The sequence below is a fragment of the Homo sapiens genome, chromosome 3 (assembly GCF_000001405.40).
Source record: "Homo sapiens chromosome 3, GRCh38.p14 Primary Assembly".
NCBI classification, from domain to species: Eukaryota; Metazoa; Chordata; class Mammalia; order Primates; family Hominidae; genus Homo; species Homo sapiens.
Genome location: NC_000003.12, coordinates 114,578,313 through 114,598,129, shown reverse-complemented (window position 1 = coordinate 114,598,129; position 19,817 = coordinate 114,578,313). Strand labels below are relative to the sequence as shown.

The 19,817-nt window shown below is 35.6% G+C and overlaps 1 protein-coding gene across 17 annotated transcripts in view; it reads left to right on the top strand.

The window, feature by feature from the left end:
* The window catches only part of ZBTB20 (zinc finger and BTB domain containing 20), an 832,789-nt gene that overhangs the window by 549,159 nt on the left and 263,813 nt on the right, over positions 1-19,817 (top strand). Inside the window, exon 7 of one of the 17 annotated variants that reach the window (NM_001348803.3) lies at positions 15,028-15,091. The exons of the other annotated variants lie outside the window; for them this stretch is intronic. The gene's annotated coding sequence lies outside the window, so the exon portion shown is untranslated. The remainder of the gene's footprint in view (positions 1-15,027; positions 15,092-19,817) is intronic. 17 annotated transcript variants of the gene reach the window in all.

Below are 19,817 nucleotides of genomic sequence, written 5' to 3'. Positions count from 1 at the left end.
AGAATGGCCACAGGCAAAGTGGATAATGTCTCTTTGTGATCCTGGCTGAATTGTGGCCTCACATGGAAGTTGGCTTCCTTCTTGAGAGTTTTAATGCAGTCACTGATTACAGTGTCTGAGATTTTACTGCAATTTCCATTTGAGTTAAAACTGATTTTGTCTTCAAAATAAAAGCCTTTAAAGACAGGGAAAATAATTATTTTTCCCATGGCAGGAAATCTAAATCCTTTCATTTTATCTCCTAACATAAAAAAGAAAAGTACTAAGAAATTACTGAAAAGTTGATGCAAAAACAAAACCTCTATTGAATATTTGAGCTATGGAACTTTATTCTCCAAGTATATACCTGCTAAAGTCCCATGTATCCAAAACAGAGAGAGCCAGATGTAGAAAAATAACTTACACCAAGGCTTTTTGTGATGCTAGTAAAAAGGCAGCTAGGGCTTTGTGAAACCATGTTGCTGCAGGTTAAAAACCAAAACAGAAAACTTACCCATGTGCTTTTGAATTGGAAGAAGAATTTTGTTTGTGTGCCTTGGCATGATCGCTTTATGTAAAACGTGGAGATTGTACAACTCTAGTATAGAACAGTAAATGCACAAACAAGCCATATTCTAACCTTGAAAGTGTGACTGCTTTCAATGGCACAGTGTATCAAGGTCAAGAGAAGCTGCCCTCAGCAGATGGAAAACTTTCAAAGTAAAAAAGCTTCCTTTACGTTTAAAATATATTGAGTTACACATGATTTCTAAGGAATACTTGGTCGTTCTAGTTATAACCATGGCTCACTTTTGTTATCATGTGTCAAGTAACTGACTCGTATATTTTCCTGGCAGATGTTTTCTGTGGAAAGGCAGGAAAAGAGAGGTGAAGGAAGAAGGCATCCCTTAATATCGTGCAATAAACCCACTAGGGGTCACTACTTTCAGTAGGACTGTGGAGAAGAAAATGTCAGAGGACACATTTGTGTCTTGGCATAAAATAGATTTCATGACACCTTGACTTTTCACCTTTTATGCATATGGAGAACTGCTTAGAAGGCTCCAATGCTTATCTGTGCCTGTGGGCCTTTATATATATATATATTTTTTTAATTTGCTTTAGGATTGAGTCGGGAAGTATTTATATTTGAACTGTATTTTGCTCAGAAATAGTTTGTTGAAGCTATTCTGTAACATGTATCTCCCTTAACTTTTAAAATACCATGCAATGAAATGATTAAAAGTGTTTGAGTGCTTTGGTAATGCAATGCATTCAGAAGGCTTGATCTCACATCCTGTGTAAGGAGTTATGATTGAGCTTTAGAGATGAGATGCCACATGCTTTCATGTCAGTGTTATGGAAGTGATTTTCTTCTTTCTTGTTTCTTTCCTGCCTCTCATTCTGTGTTCTTTCTCTCCTCTTGCTCTTCCTCTCTCTCAGTTTCATGAAAATTCATTTATCTGTGACATTTAAAGACTCTGTCTGAGAGGTGTCTGGAGCTGTGGCCGGCTGTGTACATCAATAGTTTCTTAGAATCTGGCACTCTGTCAATATTTGGGGGCCTCGATAACCGCACTTAAATGCAGAGCCTGCCAGCCATCATGCTCTTAGTGAATGAATGGATATTAGCATGTCAAATCCTTTCACAACTGGCAACACTTGGTAGACAATATATAGGCATCTTGCATTTGCCTTCTACACCTTTCTGTTTGCCTGCCTCATTTATATGATGTCATGTTTCCCATTACGTATAAAAATAGGAATCTTCAAAAAGCAGTATTATAAAAATTGAAGTAAATGACATCATTGTGCATTCTAAGTTTGGTGGGTTTTATAGTATACATGGTGATGGCATATAGGCAGTACTTTTTAAGATTATATTCTAGGTAGTTTTCGTTTGTTTGATTTTGTTTGTATTTTTGCTTAGGTTATGATATTTGGGCCAAAATTGTTGTTGCTGTTTTATAGTAGAAATATATATATGGCTCTAAGGCCATTGAGACCTTCTAGGTGAAGTCTCTATAGCTTCTGTGTGAGCCTCGTGTTAGAGAAATTTGGCTACACAAAGAAAAAATATTACTGTGTTGGAGAGATAAGGTTGTTCTCTGAAACAAAAACTATTTACATCTTCAAACGTTTCTCAGTTGTCCTCCCTACTCTATCAGTTAAATGTCCCATTTATAAATTGAATAATTGAAGCATTATTATGTCAACTTTCCCATGAACTGCCCTAGATGATAGCATATTGGACTTTCAAGGTCTACAAGGGAGACCAGTATTACAGCAACATGTTTGTTATTGGACTGCTGTGAGCTCTTAACCCATGTGTAACCTTGACCGTATCTTGTGACAAGAATACATCAGGAATATGAACTCTAAAGGAAGGAATGGGAAAGATGAGAGCTTACCAAATACCAGTCTTATCTTAGAGATCTGTGTCCAACCTAGGATAAGCATGCAAGACTTTGCCCAGTTTTTAGTCATGCTCAGATCAAGTAACCCAGGTTTCCAGATATCCAAGGGAATACCCTGGAACTCTTAATGGTCCTTGGAGGAATCATTAAATGGCCTCTTCCCTGGACTCATTGAACCAGCAGTAACTCCTAAGTTGGATGGATCTCAATCTTGATTTCAATTCAGGTCTCTAACATTTGAGTACTTGCTTTTCATGTAGGTGCTCAGGATCTGCTATATACCATAGATTTTAAGGTGACTTGTTGAGACTGAGAAAAGAAATGTCTAACGAACAGTATTAATGCAGTCTTAATACAACTCAGGACCTATGTGACCTTTAGTTTCTCATCAGAAAGGGAAATTTACATGTTATTGCCTCATAATTATGAGCCAGCCTTTTGTAGGGCTAACAGTGCATTTGACCAGCTATAAATGTGGCCTCCAGATATTATGTCATATTTATAGAAGTTATTTTTTAAGTCCAATCAGTCATTGCCTTTGGTAGAAGGAAGTTCCCTTTGGAGTGTTGTACTAAACTAGGCAGCATGGATGGACAAATGAATTTCCCAAGGGCTTCAACTACTAGAAATCATCTGGTAATATAAGGGCTGACCCCAAAGTTTTTTAAATGAAAAAAGAAGCATGAAGGTTGAAAGAATAAGAAAAAGGAAAATATTATATAAGTATAAATGGATTTATGACATGGCCTGCATCAAGAGATTTAGTATTGTTTTCCTAATTCTTATACATTAGACTAACATGCACAGCTTCTAATGAAGAAACACAAATGCTCTCCTGCCCCTATCTATAGTTAGATCCGTTTTTGTGGTCCCAGAATGAAGGCAAATAAAACATAACATACACAGCATTAACCATAATTTTTTACACGGCCAAAACTTCACCTCAAGATATAATAGAGAACATTTTTGGTATTTTCCATGGGTGGCTTAGAAACATGCCTTTATTATTGTCAATAAGACTTACCTGCTAGACTAAGACCTTACCCTCTTTTTGCTGTGGATTCAGAATTTTATGACTATACATTATCTGTTCTTTATTATATACTGTTTGTTTTATGCTAGACACTAATCCTTTCTGGAGCAGAGGAAGAAACAGGAATGAGATAAGAACATAGAATTAGCCTGCAGAATATATTTTAATAATATATTGGGAGGCCGAGGTGGGCGGATCACAAGGTCAGGAGATCGAGACCATCTTGGCCAACATAGTGAAACCCCGTCTCTACTAAAATACAAAAAATTAGCCCGGTGTAGTGACATGTGCCTGTAATCCCAGCTACATGGGAGGCTGAGGCAGGGGAATCACTTGAACCCGGGCGGCGGAGGTTGCAGTGAGCTGAGATCGCACCACTGCACTCCAGCCTGGTGACAGAGCAAGACTCTATCTCAAAAAAAAAAAAAAAAAAAGAATATGAGAAATTATGTTTGCTTGTAGATCACTATAGACACACTTTGGAACTACATTTTAATTTATGGGTTGCAATTTAACCATCTCTTTTCAATTAATACTAAAATGTTTTTTGCCTAAAGTAGGCAAGATTTGGATTCTTCTTCTTTAGAAATCCTAGCAACTTCCTCAGCTTTCTTTAGTATATACTTTGTCTACTAATCACATAGTAAAGTGAGAGAAATGAGAACAGTGGGACATATGTGTTGATGGAATATGCCTGATTCTAACTCAGCAAGGAAGGCACATGTATTGACTTTAGCCTTGACTACTCCTACTAAAAAAGAAGTAGCTGTCTGACTGTCTGGCAGGAAATCAACAGAAAACTTGAAGGAGTTGTTTAAAAGGTCTACCTTAACACAATGTAAAATCTACTATATTACGGAGATGAGTTTTGTTGATGTTGCTGTGATGCCTAATGATAGGCACCACTCAACAGAGAGACCCACACCCTTGCTCCAAAAGACACTAGAGGTAAACAGACTATCTATGACCAGTTATATGTTTTTAGTCACAGAGACACCTTTATTCCAAAATCTCCTAGGCCAGGCGCAGTGGCTCACACCTGTAATCCCAGCACTTTGGGAGGCCAAGGTGGGTGGATCACCAGAGGTCGAGAGATCGAGACCAGCCTGACCAACGTGGACAAACCCTGTCTCTACTAAAAATACAAAATTAGCCATGTGTGGTGGCGCATGCCTGTAATCCCAGCTACTCAGGAGGCTGAGGCAAGAGAATCGCTTAAACCCCAGAGGCAGAGATTGCGGTGAGCCGAGATCACGCCATTGCACTCCAGCCTGGGCCACAAGAGCGACACTCCGTCTCAAAAAAAAAAAAAAAAAGAAAAGAAAAAAGAACAAAAAAATCTCTCCCTCTCCCCTATTTTTGGGCCAATAAATTGTCATTCTTCTTTTTAGTTTATGAATTTATAGTGATTCCCACCCCGCCTTATTGAAAAATCTACTTGCCAACTTTCATCTCAAAACGACCCCAAGTAAGAGGTGTTATCACTAATAAAAGAACGCTTTTTAATACCTCAAAATATCTACTTTTTTAGAAGAGGTTGACACTGAATTTTCAATTCACATATCCCAGGGGACAGTGTCGTTGTTCCTTTTGGAAAAATAAGCCTTTGAGATAGCTGTACATGTCTCCATAATGAAAATCCTCTTTTACTCAATAATTATAAAACATACACTTTTCAGTTTTTCCCTATGTCATAGTGGCCTGGAAGCTACCTATTTAAACAGCCGTCATGGACCCAGCAACCATTTATATGCCCAGAAGTAATGAATGTTGATTTATGTATGTGAATCTGTTCAAATTATATACTAAGAGTAGAATAGATTGTGAATGTATAAGAATAGACAAGGCAGGTAGAAAATGTATAATATAGATTTTTATAGAATAAAATATTATATAAACAAAACACTGGGCAAAAATGGGGAAAAGATTGGACAAAAGAATAGATTAGAATAAGTAATCTCTTTAGTGGAAGGTTCTCTATAAACTTAATAGATAAGCCACTTATTAAAAACATTGTTATGTTTGTATTCAACGAAATTTAAAAGTAAGTTAGTATAGAAATTCAGACTCTTGCACAAATGGTGCTCTATGGCTGATCACCCAGGAAGATTGCCATTATACTTGAGTTCAGCTTACTAGTTTGTGGTTGATGATACTTTCACATTTACCTTCATTGTCTCTTTTCTGCCAAAAGGAAACTCACTATTTGGGAAAATGCACTTAAATACAACCATTTTTAATAATTCTATCCTGCAAGTTATAGACATAGAACTCTAACTTTTATTCCACGAAATATCCTAGGAGAGACCTAATGAAATCGATTTGCCCATCGTTTGATGATACCAGGACACAACGCCTTGATAATATATTATCTTCTTTCTTAGCCCAATGTAAGTTTTGCTGAACTAAGGCAAAGCTAGTATTATGATATAACTCCACGTAACCAGCAGAGCCTTTAATTCTGTCTCAAATGACCAAAAAATAAAAAATTCTAACCTATTTATTTTGTGGCCAGCACTTCAGAATTCTCAGGAAATGATTAGTAGGAGATGAGACTCAGTATTGAGAGATATAGAAGTGACATGCTATTGAGGTCGGTCCTGGATTCTGGCTTGATAATCTAGACTACATACATGTTTTCCAATATTGGCAAATTCAGTGTATTCTAAATTATTGTTAGAGGCATTTCAAAACCTCAAAATGAAATTAATTTTCATTTAAAATTATATTTTAAGGAATAGGCAAGGAAGAGTGATGCAAAAATCACATTAACAACAGGATACCAGAACTTCTAAATGGTTGCAAATCATTATTTTAGATGTTGAGGACAAGAAATGCATGCTTTCAAAGTGCAATGCTTTTACGTACAGTGTCCAAATAACAACAATTTGAGAGATAAGTATAACTAACCACTTCAGAGGGAGGACTGAAATGAACACTCAGTAAAACTGGGAATAAACAAAACGTTGTTAAATAAAAGTTATTGTTAGTTTTCTTCAGGAGAGAAAGCAGACCTCAAAAGTGGCATTTCATCCACTACTTCTTCATCACTTGTATAGAGAATTCCATATAGCTGTATTAGTTCACCTATACTAATAGCTGGTGAGCTAGCACCAAACACCTGAGCATGCTTATCCATGTTTCTTCTTTTGTGTGGGATTGTCTTCTTTTTTCCACATATTTAAGACTCTGAAATAATAGACATGTAACTTTGTTTCTTTTGAATCTTATAAGTCTTATATTTTTCATTATCCGTGATGGTTTGGTAAATGTCATTGATGGACTGAAAATAAAGAATGACTTCCTCTGTGGGAAAAATAGCATCTAGAAGTAGATTATAGAAAGTTTATCAAGAGTGTGAAATGTCAAACTGAAATTTTAAAATAGCTATAATAGTGGAATGTATAAGAAGCATGCCAAATATAGATATTTCTCTGATTTCTTATGAGCATAGATTACATACTTATTCATGCTTGTTCTGATTTCAGATAATACTGAATACAAACATCTTAGAGAGACAGAATTATCAAACCCCTCCAAACAAATTTAAATTTAACATTTTGGAAAAAAATTCTCAAGGAAGAGTCAAAAACATTGACTTTTTTTATCTTGGAAAAAGGAATGTTAAGGTAGAGCGCTAATAGTAGCTGTTAAGCAAGTGATGAGAAGTGGGAAACAAGGCTTTCTCTCTTTTCTTCACTGAGGTCTGATAATGACAAAATATGCTGCAACAGAAAATCTTAAGGTTTGATAATGAGATAGGTTATTAATAGTGAGTGCTAAACACTGAAAGGGAAGTTGTGAGATTATCCTCTATGAAGCTCTTTAACCAGTATAGAGTCATATCTTTCTGGAATGGTCTGCATGTGTCAGCGAGAAGGGAAGAAATGACTTCTCTAAGTGGTTCACATTTTCCAGGCACTTTCTCCTTACCTTTCTTTTTCTTAAAGCCACAGTTACTCAGAAGCAAAAAAACTGCCAAAAGTTACCAGGACTTCCAAATGTGCTTGACGAGGGTGAAAGCAATAGAAATGCCACCAACATTTTAATGGAGATTAAAGGATCACTCTTAAATTACCATCATTTCCTATAATAACTCATTTACTACAAACTTGAAATTGTGGATACAGCTGCTGAAATTTTTATTTATTTATTTATTTTTATTTTTGTTTATTTTTTATTTATTTTTATTTTTTATTAAATAAATTAATAAATAAATTTATTTATTTATTTTTATTTTTTGAGACGGAGTCTCAGTCTTTCGCCCAGGCTGCAGGCTGGAGTGCAGTGGCACCATCTCAGCTTCACTGCAACCTCCGCCTCCCAAGTTCAAGCGATTCACTTGCCTCAGCCTCCTGCTGGGATAACAGGTGCCCACCATCATGACTGGCTAATTTTTGTATTTTTAGTAGAGACGGGGTTTCACCATGTTGGCCGTTCTTGGTCTCAAACTCCTGACCTCAGGTGATCCGCCCGCCTCGCCCTCCCAAAATGCTGGGATTACAAGCGTGAGCCTTCGCACACGGCCTGAAACAATTTATAATACTTGTGAAGAAAGCGATTAAAGCTTATTGTTCAGTGCTTTGTTAAAAAAATATGCAGTAGACTTTTAGTGGAAAATTTATCACATTTCACTTTCTGTTTGTTGCTGTCAATATTAAAAGCAAACCCATTACCAATATACTCAGACCATTTCCTTCCTATGGCATTAAGTGAAATATTTTTGATTCATCTCCAAAAATATGAAGTTAACATGTGTTGGTGGTATTTGCTATGAAATAAGGGGAGAGGTCCACAGAATGTAATTATGGAAAAATATACCATCAATTCAAACACATACACATGCATATAGGCATATGCATGTGCGTCAGTACATATTTACCCCCAGGTCTTTATACTTACAAGCACTTTTCTAGGAACTGAAGCTGCATAGGTAAAAATATGTTTCTGTTGCTAAAGAGTGTTCACAGGTTGGTGGGAAAAATAGACATGAAAGTTTTTATGCAAAAAGATGGGTATTGAAGTAAAAGTATATGCAAGGTGTTATGTAAGTTTGCCTGGGAAAGTTCTTGTTTAAGTCTGTAGTCTTGGTATAATTATTTATAAGGCCCTTTCACTGTCAAAAGTGTCCCTGCTTGGACAATAAATTAAATGGTCAATCTATAAATAGCCATATCAATCAAAGATGCCTGAGGTTGTCAGGAAAGATTTTCCACAGAATAGGACAGAAAATCAAAGAGATTAAGAATGCTTTGCCACCAGTACTACCTGCATCCAAATGGAAATGAGAAATGGGTGTGACTGGCTTTTATTTCTCCCCGGCTTGTCAGAGGGATAGAGTGGGAATTTAAATCATGTTGGGTGAGGAGAAAGGGACAAGGCAGGACAATCTAAACCCAGTTGTTGGTATGTAATACACACAAGGGTTGTCATTAAATGAGTCATTAAACTAATAATTTTCTGAAGCTCTGAACTGAAATTTAGGGTGAGAAAGAACTAGACGCACTGGGGGGATTTTAGAAAGATAGATTATGATATGGTTTGGCTGTGTCCTCACCCAAATCTCATCTTGAATTGTAGTTCCCATAATCTTCATGTGTCGTGGGAGGGACCTGGTGAGAAGTAATTGAATCATGGAAGCAGTTACTCCCATGATTTTCTCGTGATGGTGAGTGAGTTCTCATGAGATCTGATGGTTTTATAAGGGGCTTTTCCCCCTTTGCTCAGCACTCATTCTCTCTCCTGTTGCCCGGTGAAGAGGTGCCTTCTGCTATGATTGTAAGTTTCCTGAGGCTTCCCCAGCCATGCGAAACTGAGTCATATAAACTTCTTTTCTTTATAAATTACCCAGTCTTGGGTATTTCTTCATAGCAGCATGAGAACAGACTAATATGGATTAAGATTCAGCATAAGGAAGAACAGAACAGAAAGAAGTATCCTACAGTGGAGAGTTCCGTGCCCTGGTGGTATGCAGCAGAGACTGAATGATCACTGTGAGCACCAGATTAAGACCCAGACCATGGGTTGTTTAATGTTCTTTACCATATTTTTGCCCTGGGATCTTAGGATTCTTCAGGCATGGGGATTTTTCAGTAGCTATTAAGAATTCTGTGTTTGGGAGACATCAAGAAGTTAAAAAAAATTGGAAATACTATAAGAAAAAATTTTACATAAGCTAAAACCACTCTTGTGACCCACTCTGAGCATACACTAAAAGAGACCAGGGAATATAATGCAGATCTCACTGAGTTTATTATTTGCCACCCATCAAGGAAAGGAGCCATTCCACACATAATGTTCAGGAGACATTCCTCACTCAGGTTTCCACTGGTTGGACACATATTCATTTTAAGACTGAGTAACTGCAAATGCTTGCTTACCAGCTTGATTTGCATAGCTCTGAGTTACATACGAATGGGACTCATGGCAAAGCTATCATTAAAGAGAAACAAAGCAGAAGACCGAACAAAGGATACATTCTGTGCAAAGTTTGAAGTTGAGACTGTTTCAGTGATCCTTGTCATGGTAAGAAAGCTGTCCGCCCCTTCCCCCACCTAAAACAGAATAGCAGACAAGTGACAAAAGAAGGCCCCCTGGAAGTAATATGGGAGCAAAGAGTAGGATGAACTAAAGGCTATACACATGAAGAGAGAGAAAGGAATTGTCATGGACACAAGGAGATGCCGCCAAACACCCTCCATTCATAGCACGGAGATATGTGATTAGGTTAGAATCACTTACCTCTTCCCCAGTGCATTAAAGTAGGAATAGGTCAGGCCTGGAGAAAGGAATGACATCTTGATGAAACTCAGCTTTCTCAGAGGCCTAACAAGGATGGCAATACAGATAGAGCTAGAATCTTCTCACTGGCCCTTTTGTATCAAATTAGTGAATTCCTGTATTTCCAGACTGAAATGTTTTCCAGTAAGCAAGAGAGAAAAGGCTTCTGGAGGCAGTGGAAATGACTTTCGTTCTTCTATGGTTAAGAGTACATGGGCTTTGGAACAATGGAAAACTGGTTTCAAATCTCTGCAGCTTACATATTTATGGTGTGAAGTACTTAACTCCCTACATTTTAGTTCTCACATCTGAAAAAATATTGAGCATGCATATGCCATAGAATTATTGTAATGATTAAATTACACATGTAAATTGTATAATACACATAGTGTCTGGCACAGGATCATTCACAATAAAATTTTTATTCAATGAGTACTATTATCGCTTTCTGTAACATTCTCTAGTAGCCCTTTCTAAGCTCTGCTTCACTTTACATCATTACTTTTGTCTAGTCCTTGACATTCCACCTGTTCCGGCTTTGACTTGCTTCCCCAGATAGTGTACATCTGTGTCTGCTTCAAAGCCTCATTCTGTTATGTTCTTTAAGAGTTATACCTAGAATTGGGCCAGGCACGGTGGCTCACACCTGTAATCCCAGCACTTTGAGAGGCCGAGGTGGGCAGATCACCTGTAGTCAGGAGTTCGAGACCAGCCTGTCCAACATGGTGAAACCCCGTCTCTACTAAAAATACAAAAATTAGCCGGGTGTGGTGGTGGGTGCCTGTAGTCCCAGCTGCTCAGGAGGCTGAGGCAGGAGAATCGCTTGAACCCGGGAGATGGAGGTTGCCGTGAGCCAAGATCACACCATTGCACTCCAGCCTGGGTGACAAGAGTGAGACTTCATCTCAAAAAAAAAAAAAAAAAAAAAAAAGGGAGTTATACCTAGAGTTATGTATAAATTCAGTACCAACAATGGGCAAAAATGTAAAATTGTAGAAAGAATAAATGATGTTTAGAGAGTATCATTCTTGTTCTTGAGTCTGAAGGCACTCTTCATCTTTTGTAATATTGACCCTGAGACCATTTATGTCAGATGGAAAGGAACATGTGCTGTTATTTTCTACCTTCGTCCCAGGAGGTTAAAATGACTTGAAGAAACTCAGCAACTTCAGGTGAAGGACCTAATGAGAGGATCTTGAATTCTTGATCTCAAATCTGCCAGGGTCTCCATTCACTATTAAAAAGTCAGCCTAGTGAGGATGGCCCTAGTTATTAATTTGATATTATATTACTTTATTTTACCACAGTTAAAATGTTCTCTGGATTAGTATTGACCCTATAGTTACCCACAAGGTATAGAGAGAAGTCAGTGGAAATTCTCTTCTCAACAGCTAAAGTGGTCCTTGTCACCAAAACAGTCATATGCTAAATCACATGTCAGTGTGACATCGCCAGGCCTTAGCTTCTCAGGATCTACTTGTTACAAGTGAGTTTATGTGGCTTGAAGCATATGGCCTTGATATATGATCCCAGAGCAAAAGGGCAAGGTATTTCAAGCTGGCCATAATTTTATTGTCTCTCACAGGCTTGCTTTGTAGTCATTCCAATAAACTAGATGGGAAATTTTTGATGCTCCAAGCTATCCAGTCTTCAGGACTTCATTTCATGATTCAGAGTCCAGCTAAACAACTCAAGAGTGCTTTTGTGTGACACTGACCACAGGAACAAATAATTGCTTAGTAATTCTCTTTGAGGTAGAAAATTCTAAACATGGAGGAACCATTTCCCCTTAATGGGAGCCAGAAATCCTCTAAGTGCTTGAAATGGCATTCACAAGTCTGAATGGTAAACAGATAAAAACAGGAGCGCACCAGTTGCACAAATGACTTGCTTGTCACAAACTTGTCATTGCAGTAATCTAACATTTCTTTCACAGAGCCCGATGGAAAGTATGGAACAAACAGGCCCTGCTGACGTTTTGGCTCTGCTAAGCCTTCCTCCGAGCTAAAGCATCTGCAGCATCTTCCTGTTCTAGACCCTTTATCTGCTGAAGTTAGCTGATACTGTACATGTCAGAGAAATGTTTGACTATTGCATTAACAAGTTGATGACAAGCAAGTTATTCCTGCAACTGAAATACTGCTGCTTTTAGCAGGCTGCCATTTTGACCTTCATTTTATTATGCAGAAGAACCCTAACAGAGCAGAGCACTGGGGAGAAACCAGTGTGGTTGCCCCAGGCCCATACAAAGACCACCTGCCTAGGGATTAGGTATAGTGGTACAGGGGGCATACCAGGCAGGTCCATTAGAAGTATGGAAGGGATTCCTTGTAAAACATAAATGTGAATACATTAGACGGTTTCAAAGATTGTTCTTGCAGGGGTAAAATGAACTGCACAGAAATAGATTTCTTCCTGCATCCTCTGAACCCCACACACATGTGCACATACGGCTGTGTATGCTTTATAGAATGATATGAGATGGGAAACTTAAATGAAAATTGTATATACCAGCTCTACACATAGTTTTTGTCAATTGTTGGAGTTCCTGTCATCAGTAGCTTCCCTTAACCTCCTCCTCACTCAGCATAATATCTGGAGTTATCTAAACCTAATCAGACCCATGCTCTTGTCCCCTCAAGAGCACTGTTATCTCCATTAGCCTCCTCATAGAAAATTTAAGCAGCCCTCTCTAGGACATCACCAGTTCATTTCCAACCTCAGCTGCCAGCAGGGAGTACTCCTACACTGTGTAACTTCAGCCTCTCGCCGTTCTGTTTGAGGAAACTTCCTCCCCTCAGGGACCCACACTTGGGGTTCCTCGAGTGTGTAGTCCAGAGGGTCCCAGCCTTTAACAGGAGCCTTGCCTGTAAGAGAAGCCTTGCCTATTGCCCCCTATGGTGTTTTGCCTTTGTTGATGCCATAGGTATATCAGCACTTGGAACAACAGAGAGTTTGCCCTAAGACTTTGGCCTTTTCATAAAACTGAGCTGCTCTTATTCACCAAGGTGTCAGCTGCCTTGTATTCTTTCTAGACGCTTCAGGTCTGTTAAGGGTACACTGATAGTGTTTTGTCTGATTTAAATATTGACGCAAAAAACTTGCATTCTCGTACTTATTTTCTGGCTGGTGCCCCAGGTACTTTCATTTTCAAAAGTTCTGTGTAAAAATGATAATCATTGTCCATCCATGAGAACCACATTTCTTGCCAAAGTGGTGATGAGGCTTAACTTTCTTTTAGACTTGGCAAATTGCACACATTACTGTCTCCAGGGTGAAATGTTTTACTCCCATCCCAAATATCTCTTGATGTAATCTATACCTTAGCTTTGTGGAACAACTACCTCAGAGGACAGGTGGGAAGGGTGTGAGAAGAGAGCCTTTTTTTTTTTTTAACAGAGTTAGGGATATTGTCCCTGGAAAAAGAGGTGAAGATAGTTTGAGGCAGCATTTAAAGTTTCTGCAAAAGGAAATACGTGAATGAACAATTTGAATTGTAAATGGAATTTCATCAGCTTTTTCTTTCTAAAGTTCCTAATAGGATTTCCATAATGATTTTGTGTTTTCCTTCTTAGTAGAACTTAAATGGCAAATAAATGATACACTATTTTTGATTTAGAAAAAAATAAAAATCTTTTCTGTGGGAGCTCTCTTTTTAAATACACATTAGGGGATAGATAATGGCAAACAAAAAAAAGTCTTTCTTCCTATTCAGATGGATAGCTATCAGTGTGTGTATGTCTTTTTAATATTTATTTATTTGCTTATTTGATCATTTATTTGTCTATTTATTGTAAGGAAATTAACAAAGGAAAGAAGAAAAACACCTCATGATAAATTAATCTCATTAGATACGTAGAATTTTAGGGCTAGAAAGGAGTTTGATGATCAAGCTATGACTTTATATCACACTCACTTTAGAAATGTGAATGTATGTGAATTTTGAGACCCAAAGATGTTTAATCAGATGAACCAAGATGCGCAATAGGATTGTGGCAGAGCTCGGCCTAAAACTTTCATTTCAGGCAATACTCCCTCAGAGATTACATTACATTTTTTAAAGCTTTATTTTAAACAAAGACAGTCTCATTTTAATAATTTGCACTGATGTGCTTAAATCTAATAGAACATTTGCTATTATAGTAACTGAGACCTCACATTGGTTACACCAACTAAGGAATATACATTTCAACAGTTTGAAGACATTTCTTTCTAAGCCGTTTCTTATTTGCATAGGGTAAGGAACCTTAGTTAGTTCAATTAATTTTTATCTTTTGTAAGATTTCAAAGAAACACTTGCACCGTTCCTATTTACCTAAAAACATGTTTTTTAAATGAATCTGTTTCTTTAATAAGTATTCACTTAAGTAGGTCATACTGTAACGTTCTTGGTGATAAAAAATCTTTTATCAGGATAAAAGAAATCTTATTTTTATTCCCACTTTTAGCCATGTTTGAGTTGGTCCTTGTAATTGTTGGTTTCAACAAAACACTAAGTCAAAAAATCAATGTTTGTGTTTATTTTTGTTTAATACATGAGAAAAAAGTCCATTGATCTTTTTGCAGTTATGATACATAAATACTGTATTTTTCACTTATGCGAAACTTAATTTTTGAGGGTTTCCTTTTTGTTTCATTTCTCTGTTTCACATTTTTCAAACATCTGTACCATGGTTAGTGGTTAGAGTAGCAGTGGCTGGCACTTTTCTTCCACAATGTGAGAGAAAGAAAAGTGACTGGAATAAAACTTTGCTTTTCATATGGTTGACTTGAAATGCAGCATTGAAAAGGTATCATCTCTTTCTTTTCTGAAACCAGAGGTGAAACCCGCCAGCCAATAGCAGTACTGATACCAAATCACCTGTTGATTCTGTTAATTCATGTAAGTAAAGTCTGGCAATGCATGCCTCACTTCATCAACTGAAAAACCTAAATGGATGATCTTTGTGCATTGGCAGCATCTGTCTATATCAACAATATATCCCTCTGGTCACTCACTTAAGGAAGCCTGAGATTCTATAGTCAGTCAAGAAGTGAATGAAAACTTTTGCTTTTGATTCAACAAAATAATCACTTTGTAGGCATGTTTGGCTGTGAAGTGCTTACTAATATTGGGCTCTATTATCAGAGATAGTGAAGAGAAGATGACACTAGTGCTTTCCTTTACCTCGATTAATTCTAGTTAGGAAAATCTATGGTGTTTGCCTTATACATTTTCTAATGTAAAATATTTAAAACACAGGCTGGGCATGGTGGCTCACGCCTATAATCCCGGCACTTTAGGAGGCCAAAGTGGGCAGATCACTTGAGGTTAGGAGTTCGAGACCAGCCTGGCCAACATGGCAGAACCCTGTCTCTACTAAAAATACAAAAATTAGCCAGGCATGATGGCACGTGCCTGTAAGCTACTCGGGAGGCTGAGGCAGGAGAATTGCTTGTACCCAGGAGGCGGAGGTTGTAGTGGGCTGAGATGGCACCATTGCACTCCAGCCTGGTGGACAGAGTGAGACTCTGTCTTTAAAAAAAAAAAAAAATTAAAACACATGGAAGTATAAAGGATAATATGAAATACAAGAATCCAGAACCCAGGTTAAACGAAGTTTAATAATTTGGAACATTTGTTTCTGAACCTATTTTTTATTATTTTATTATAGGTTACATACAGTGAATTAGACAAATTAAGTGTATACCTTGATGAGTATACATGTGACAACACCCAACCCAAGGTGCAGAATATTTATAATACCTAAGAAGAATCCTTTGTATGTGCCCCTTGAAGGTGAAATTTTCCAAAGTTTTAACAAAAGGTAAAGAACAAGCAAAACCACTGTAACCTCTATCATCATGAATTAGTTTTACATAAGCTATATATTTTGGTTTATATGAAATGTATTCTTCTGTATGTATTACTAAAATTTATTTATCAATTCTCTCATTGTTGGACATTATTTTAATTGTTTCCCAATCACAAACAAGACCACAGTTAACATTTTTATAGACATATATACATAGAAGTAGAAATGCTAAACTTTAAGAAATATGCATTTTGAACTTTACTAGGTATTGTAAAACCTCCCTCCAATGTATTTGTACCAATTTATATTCTCAGTAACAATCTATGAGAGCTTCTCCACATGCTTCACAACATTTGTGATGGTCAGACTTTTTAAAATTTTTGTCAGTCTGATCGGAATTGAATAATATCTCATTAACTTTTTTTTTTTTTTTAGTTGTAAGCCATTGGGATTTTCTCTTCTGTGTTGCCTAATTTGCATCTTTTGTCCATCTTTCTGTTGGGTTATTTGTTGTGCTGTTGTTATTTTGGAAGAGTTTTGTTTGGCTTGATTTGGTTTTTGGTATTAGTTGTTGCTGTTGTTGTAATATTCTGGATTTTCATATTTTGGGCCATAGAGATTACAAAGATTTTTTCCCAATTTGTAGGTGCCCTTTTAACTGTGGCTTTAGTAGTATTTGTTTTTATAAAGCTTTTAATATTAACTCAACTAGGCTTATTGATATTTTCCTTCATAATTTGTGCTTTTATGTCATTTAAGAAATCCTTTCACATGCCAAGGTCATTTACCTTTCTGTATTTTCTTCTAACAGTTTTAAAGATTTCCCATTTACATTTAGATCTCTAATCCTTCTGGAATTATTTTTGGTTCTGGTACCCTACATGCACCCTATTTTATTCTTTTTCCATATGGATAACCCAGTTATCCCAGCATTATTTAAAAAATTAGTCATTCTTTATTAACTAATTTATAATGCCATCTTTTGCCTATATCAAATCTGTTTATATGATCTTTATTTGATCCGATGGACTGTTTTTCTATCCTTGTACTAACACCATAACCCTTAATTACCATAGCTTTATAATATTCTTTTTACTTGGTAAGATAAGTCTCTCTACCTTGTTCCTTTTTAAGATTCTTTTAGCTCCCTTGGTCTTTTGCTATTCAATATGAGTTTTAGGGCTAGTTGGTCAAGTTTGGCAAAAGTCTTGCTGAATTTTATTTGTAATTACATTAACATTAGAAAATAATCTGGGGAGAATTGACATTTTTATAATGTGTCTTGCTGCCCAGTGACATACTATATCCCTCTATTTGTGATCATCTTCATATCCTATAATCATGTTTTAAAATTTCCATCATAAATTTCTTGAACCTATTTTGTAAAATTGTTCCTCATATAACTTAGATTCTTACATTATTATATTCATATCTGTTTTCCATTTCATTGTTTATTGGTTATTATTGTTATATATTCAGCAACTTTGCTGAGCTCTCTTACTACTTTGAATAACTAAACTGGTAAATTCTCTTAAGTTTTCTACAGCAACATGTATGTCAGCAGTAAATAATGACAGTCATTCTCTTAAATTCTAATTCTTAAATGTTCAATTTTTTCCTGTCATATTGCATTACTAAACCTCAGTATAGTGTGAATAGGATAGTCACATTAAGAATATCTATTCTGTTTCTTATTTTAATGGAAATGTTTTAGAAACATAACATTTGCTTGGGATTTTGAGAAATCGAAATTATTGTATTAAGGAAGTTCTTAATATGTTCCTAAACTATTTATAGTTTACTAAGTGTTTTTAATCAGAAATACTAGTTAAATTTTATCTAATGCATTTTCTGCATCAATAATATGATAAAATTTTCCACTACTATGTTAATATTTTATAAGATATTAATACATTTCCTGATATTAAACAGTTCTTATATTCTTGGAAAAAATATTCTTGCTCTTGGTGTATTTTTTAATCTACTATTGAGTTTAATTTACTGACATGTAGTATGTTTACATGGGGAGATCAATCTTTAAATTTTATTTTCTTAACTGTTACTATAGAGTTTTGCTGTGACAATACTGGCCTCACAAAATAAGCTGAGTAACATTTCATTTTTTTCTATATCTTAAACAGTTTTCACATTATTGGGATTTTTTATTCTGAGTATTTGTCATCTGAACTTGGTAATTTTCATCAGTAGGTTGTAGGTAGGCAGACTTGAATATCAGAATAAACCAATAACCACAGAGGAAATTTCTGATTCTTCTCTAGTCAATTTTGGGAAGTTATTTTTTTTAAATACAGTTCACAGTTTATACTTCAATTTATTTGTACAAAGTTATTTATATATTCTTATGATTTTTAATTTTTTGTCCTTATGTTCCCCTCTTATTCCTAATATTTATTTGACCCTTCTGCTTTTTTTTATTAGACACTAGACATTTTTCTGTTTCATTTACTTCTTTACAAAAACTGGCTTTTGATTCTGCTTATCTACTTTATTATTTATTTGTAGTCTAAATCATTACTTTCTGCTTTTATCAGCATTAGCGTTATTTCATTCCTTCTTTTTTTTTATATTTTTAGGCCATTTTTCTTTTTCTAGATTCTTGAATTGAATTATTACCCTTTTACTTTCAATAATTTTTATTATCTTTAAAAATGAATTTCAGACTCTAAATTTTTCTCCTGGTTTCTCATTAGGTGCATACCATGTTTTGATACGTAGTTTTGTTCAATTTTAAATATTTCATAATATCTGTTTTATTTTTAGCCCTTGAGGTATTTAGAAGGGTATGCTTTTACTTTGTAAACATATTTGCTCTATTTTTATTATTTATTTCTGAATTTAAACGCATTAAAATAAAATGATGTGTTTTATGTGGTTTTAATTGAAAAACTTTTTTTAGCTTATTTTGTGATTTTATCTGGTACATGGATTTTACTTCTGGCTTGAAATCTGTAGGTGGTTTATCTGTTTCTTTAGCACTAATTCTAAAATTCTTTTGTGTATACTGAACTGTGTATTTTTCTAAGAAAATATAAAATCGACCTTTTAGTATTTCTGACCTTCTTCTTAGTATAAAAAAGGTGGTTAACATAGCATCTTTTAATTACCTATTAAGTATCAATCTTGTTACTATAATTGTGTATGAAGTTTTAGTTTTACCTATTTGTTTTTAACCATATTCAAAAGTGGTGATCACTGTTGTCTATAATCAATGCTTAATTATATTTACTAATATTTTTAGATATTACTATGCCTACCATTATTCTTAGATCCTGTGGCTTCCTTTCTGGGTGCACTTTTCTTGTTACTTTTTTTTAGTAATTATTTAATGAGGACCTTGGGTAATACATATATTTCATATAACTAAAAATGTACTTATTTTGTTTTTTATCTTAAATAGCAATTTATCTGGGTATTTTTTGTTGAGTATTTTAAAGACATTACTCAATTATATCTTAGACTATTGTTCTGTCAACTATTCTTAATTAAGAGAAATCTATCAATCTGTTTTTATCTCTTTATAAATAATCTGCTTTTTCTCCTGGTAGCTTTTAAAAGTTATTCTATATCCTAAATATCTTGTAGTTTCTCTGAAATGTGTCTGGACGTGGATTTATTTTGAATTATTAGTCATGAACTCAGGATATACTTATTAATCTCAGGACTCCAGTTTTGGAAAATTCTCAGCTATTATCCTTTTCTTTATTGTTCCTTTGTCATTACTTCCATTTTCTTTTTCTGGAATTCTTATAAGATAAACATTGGTATTTTCTAATCAGCTTACTGATTAGTATC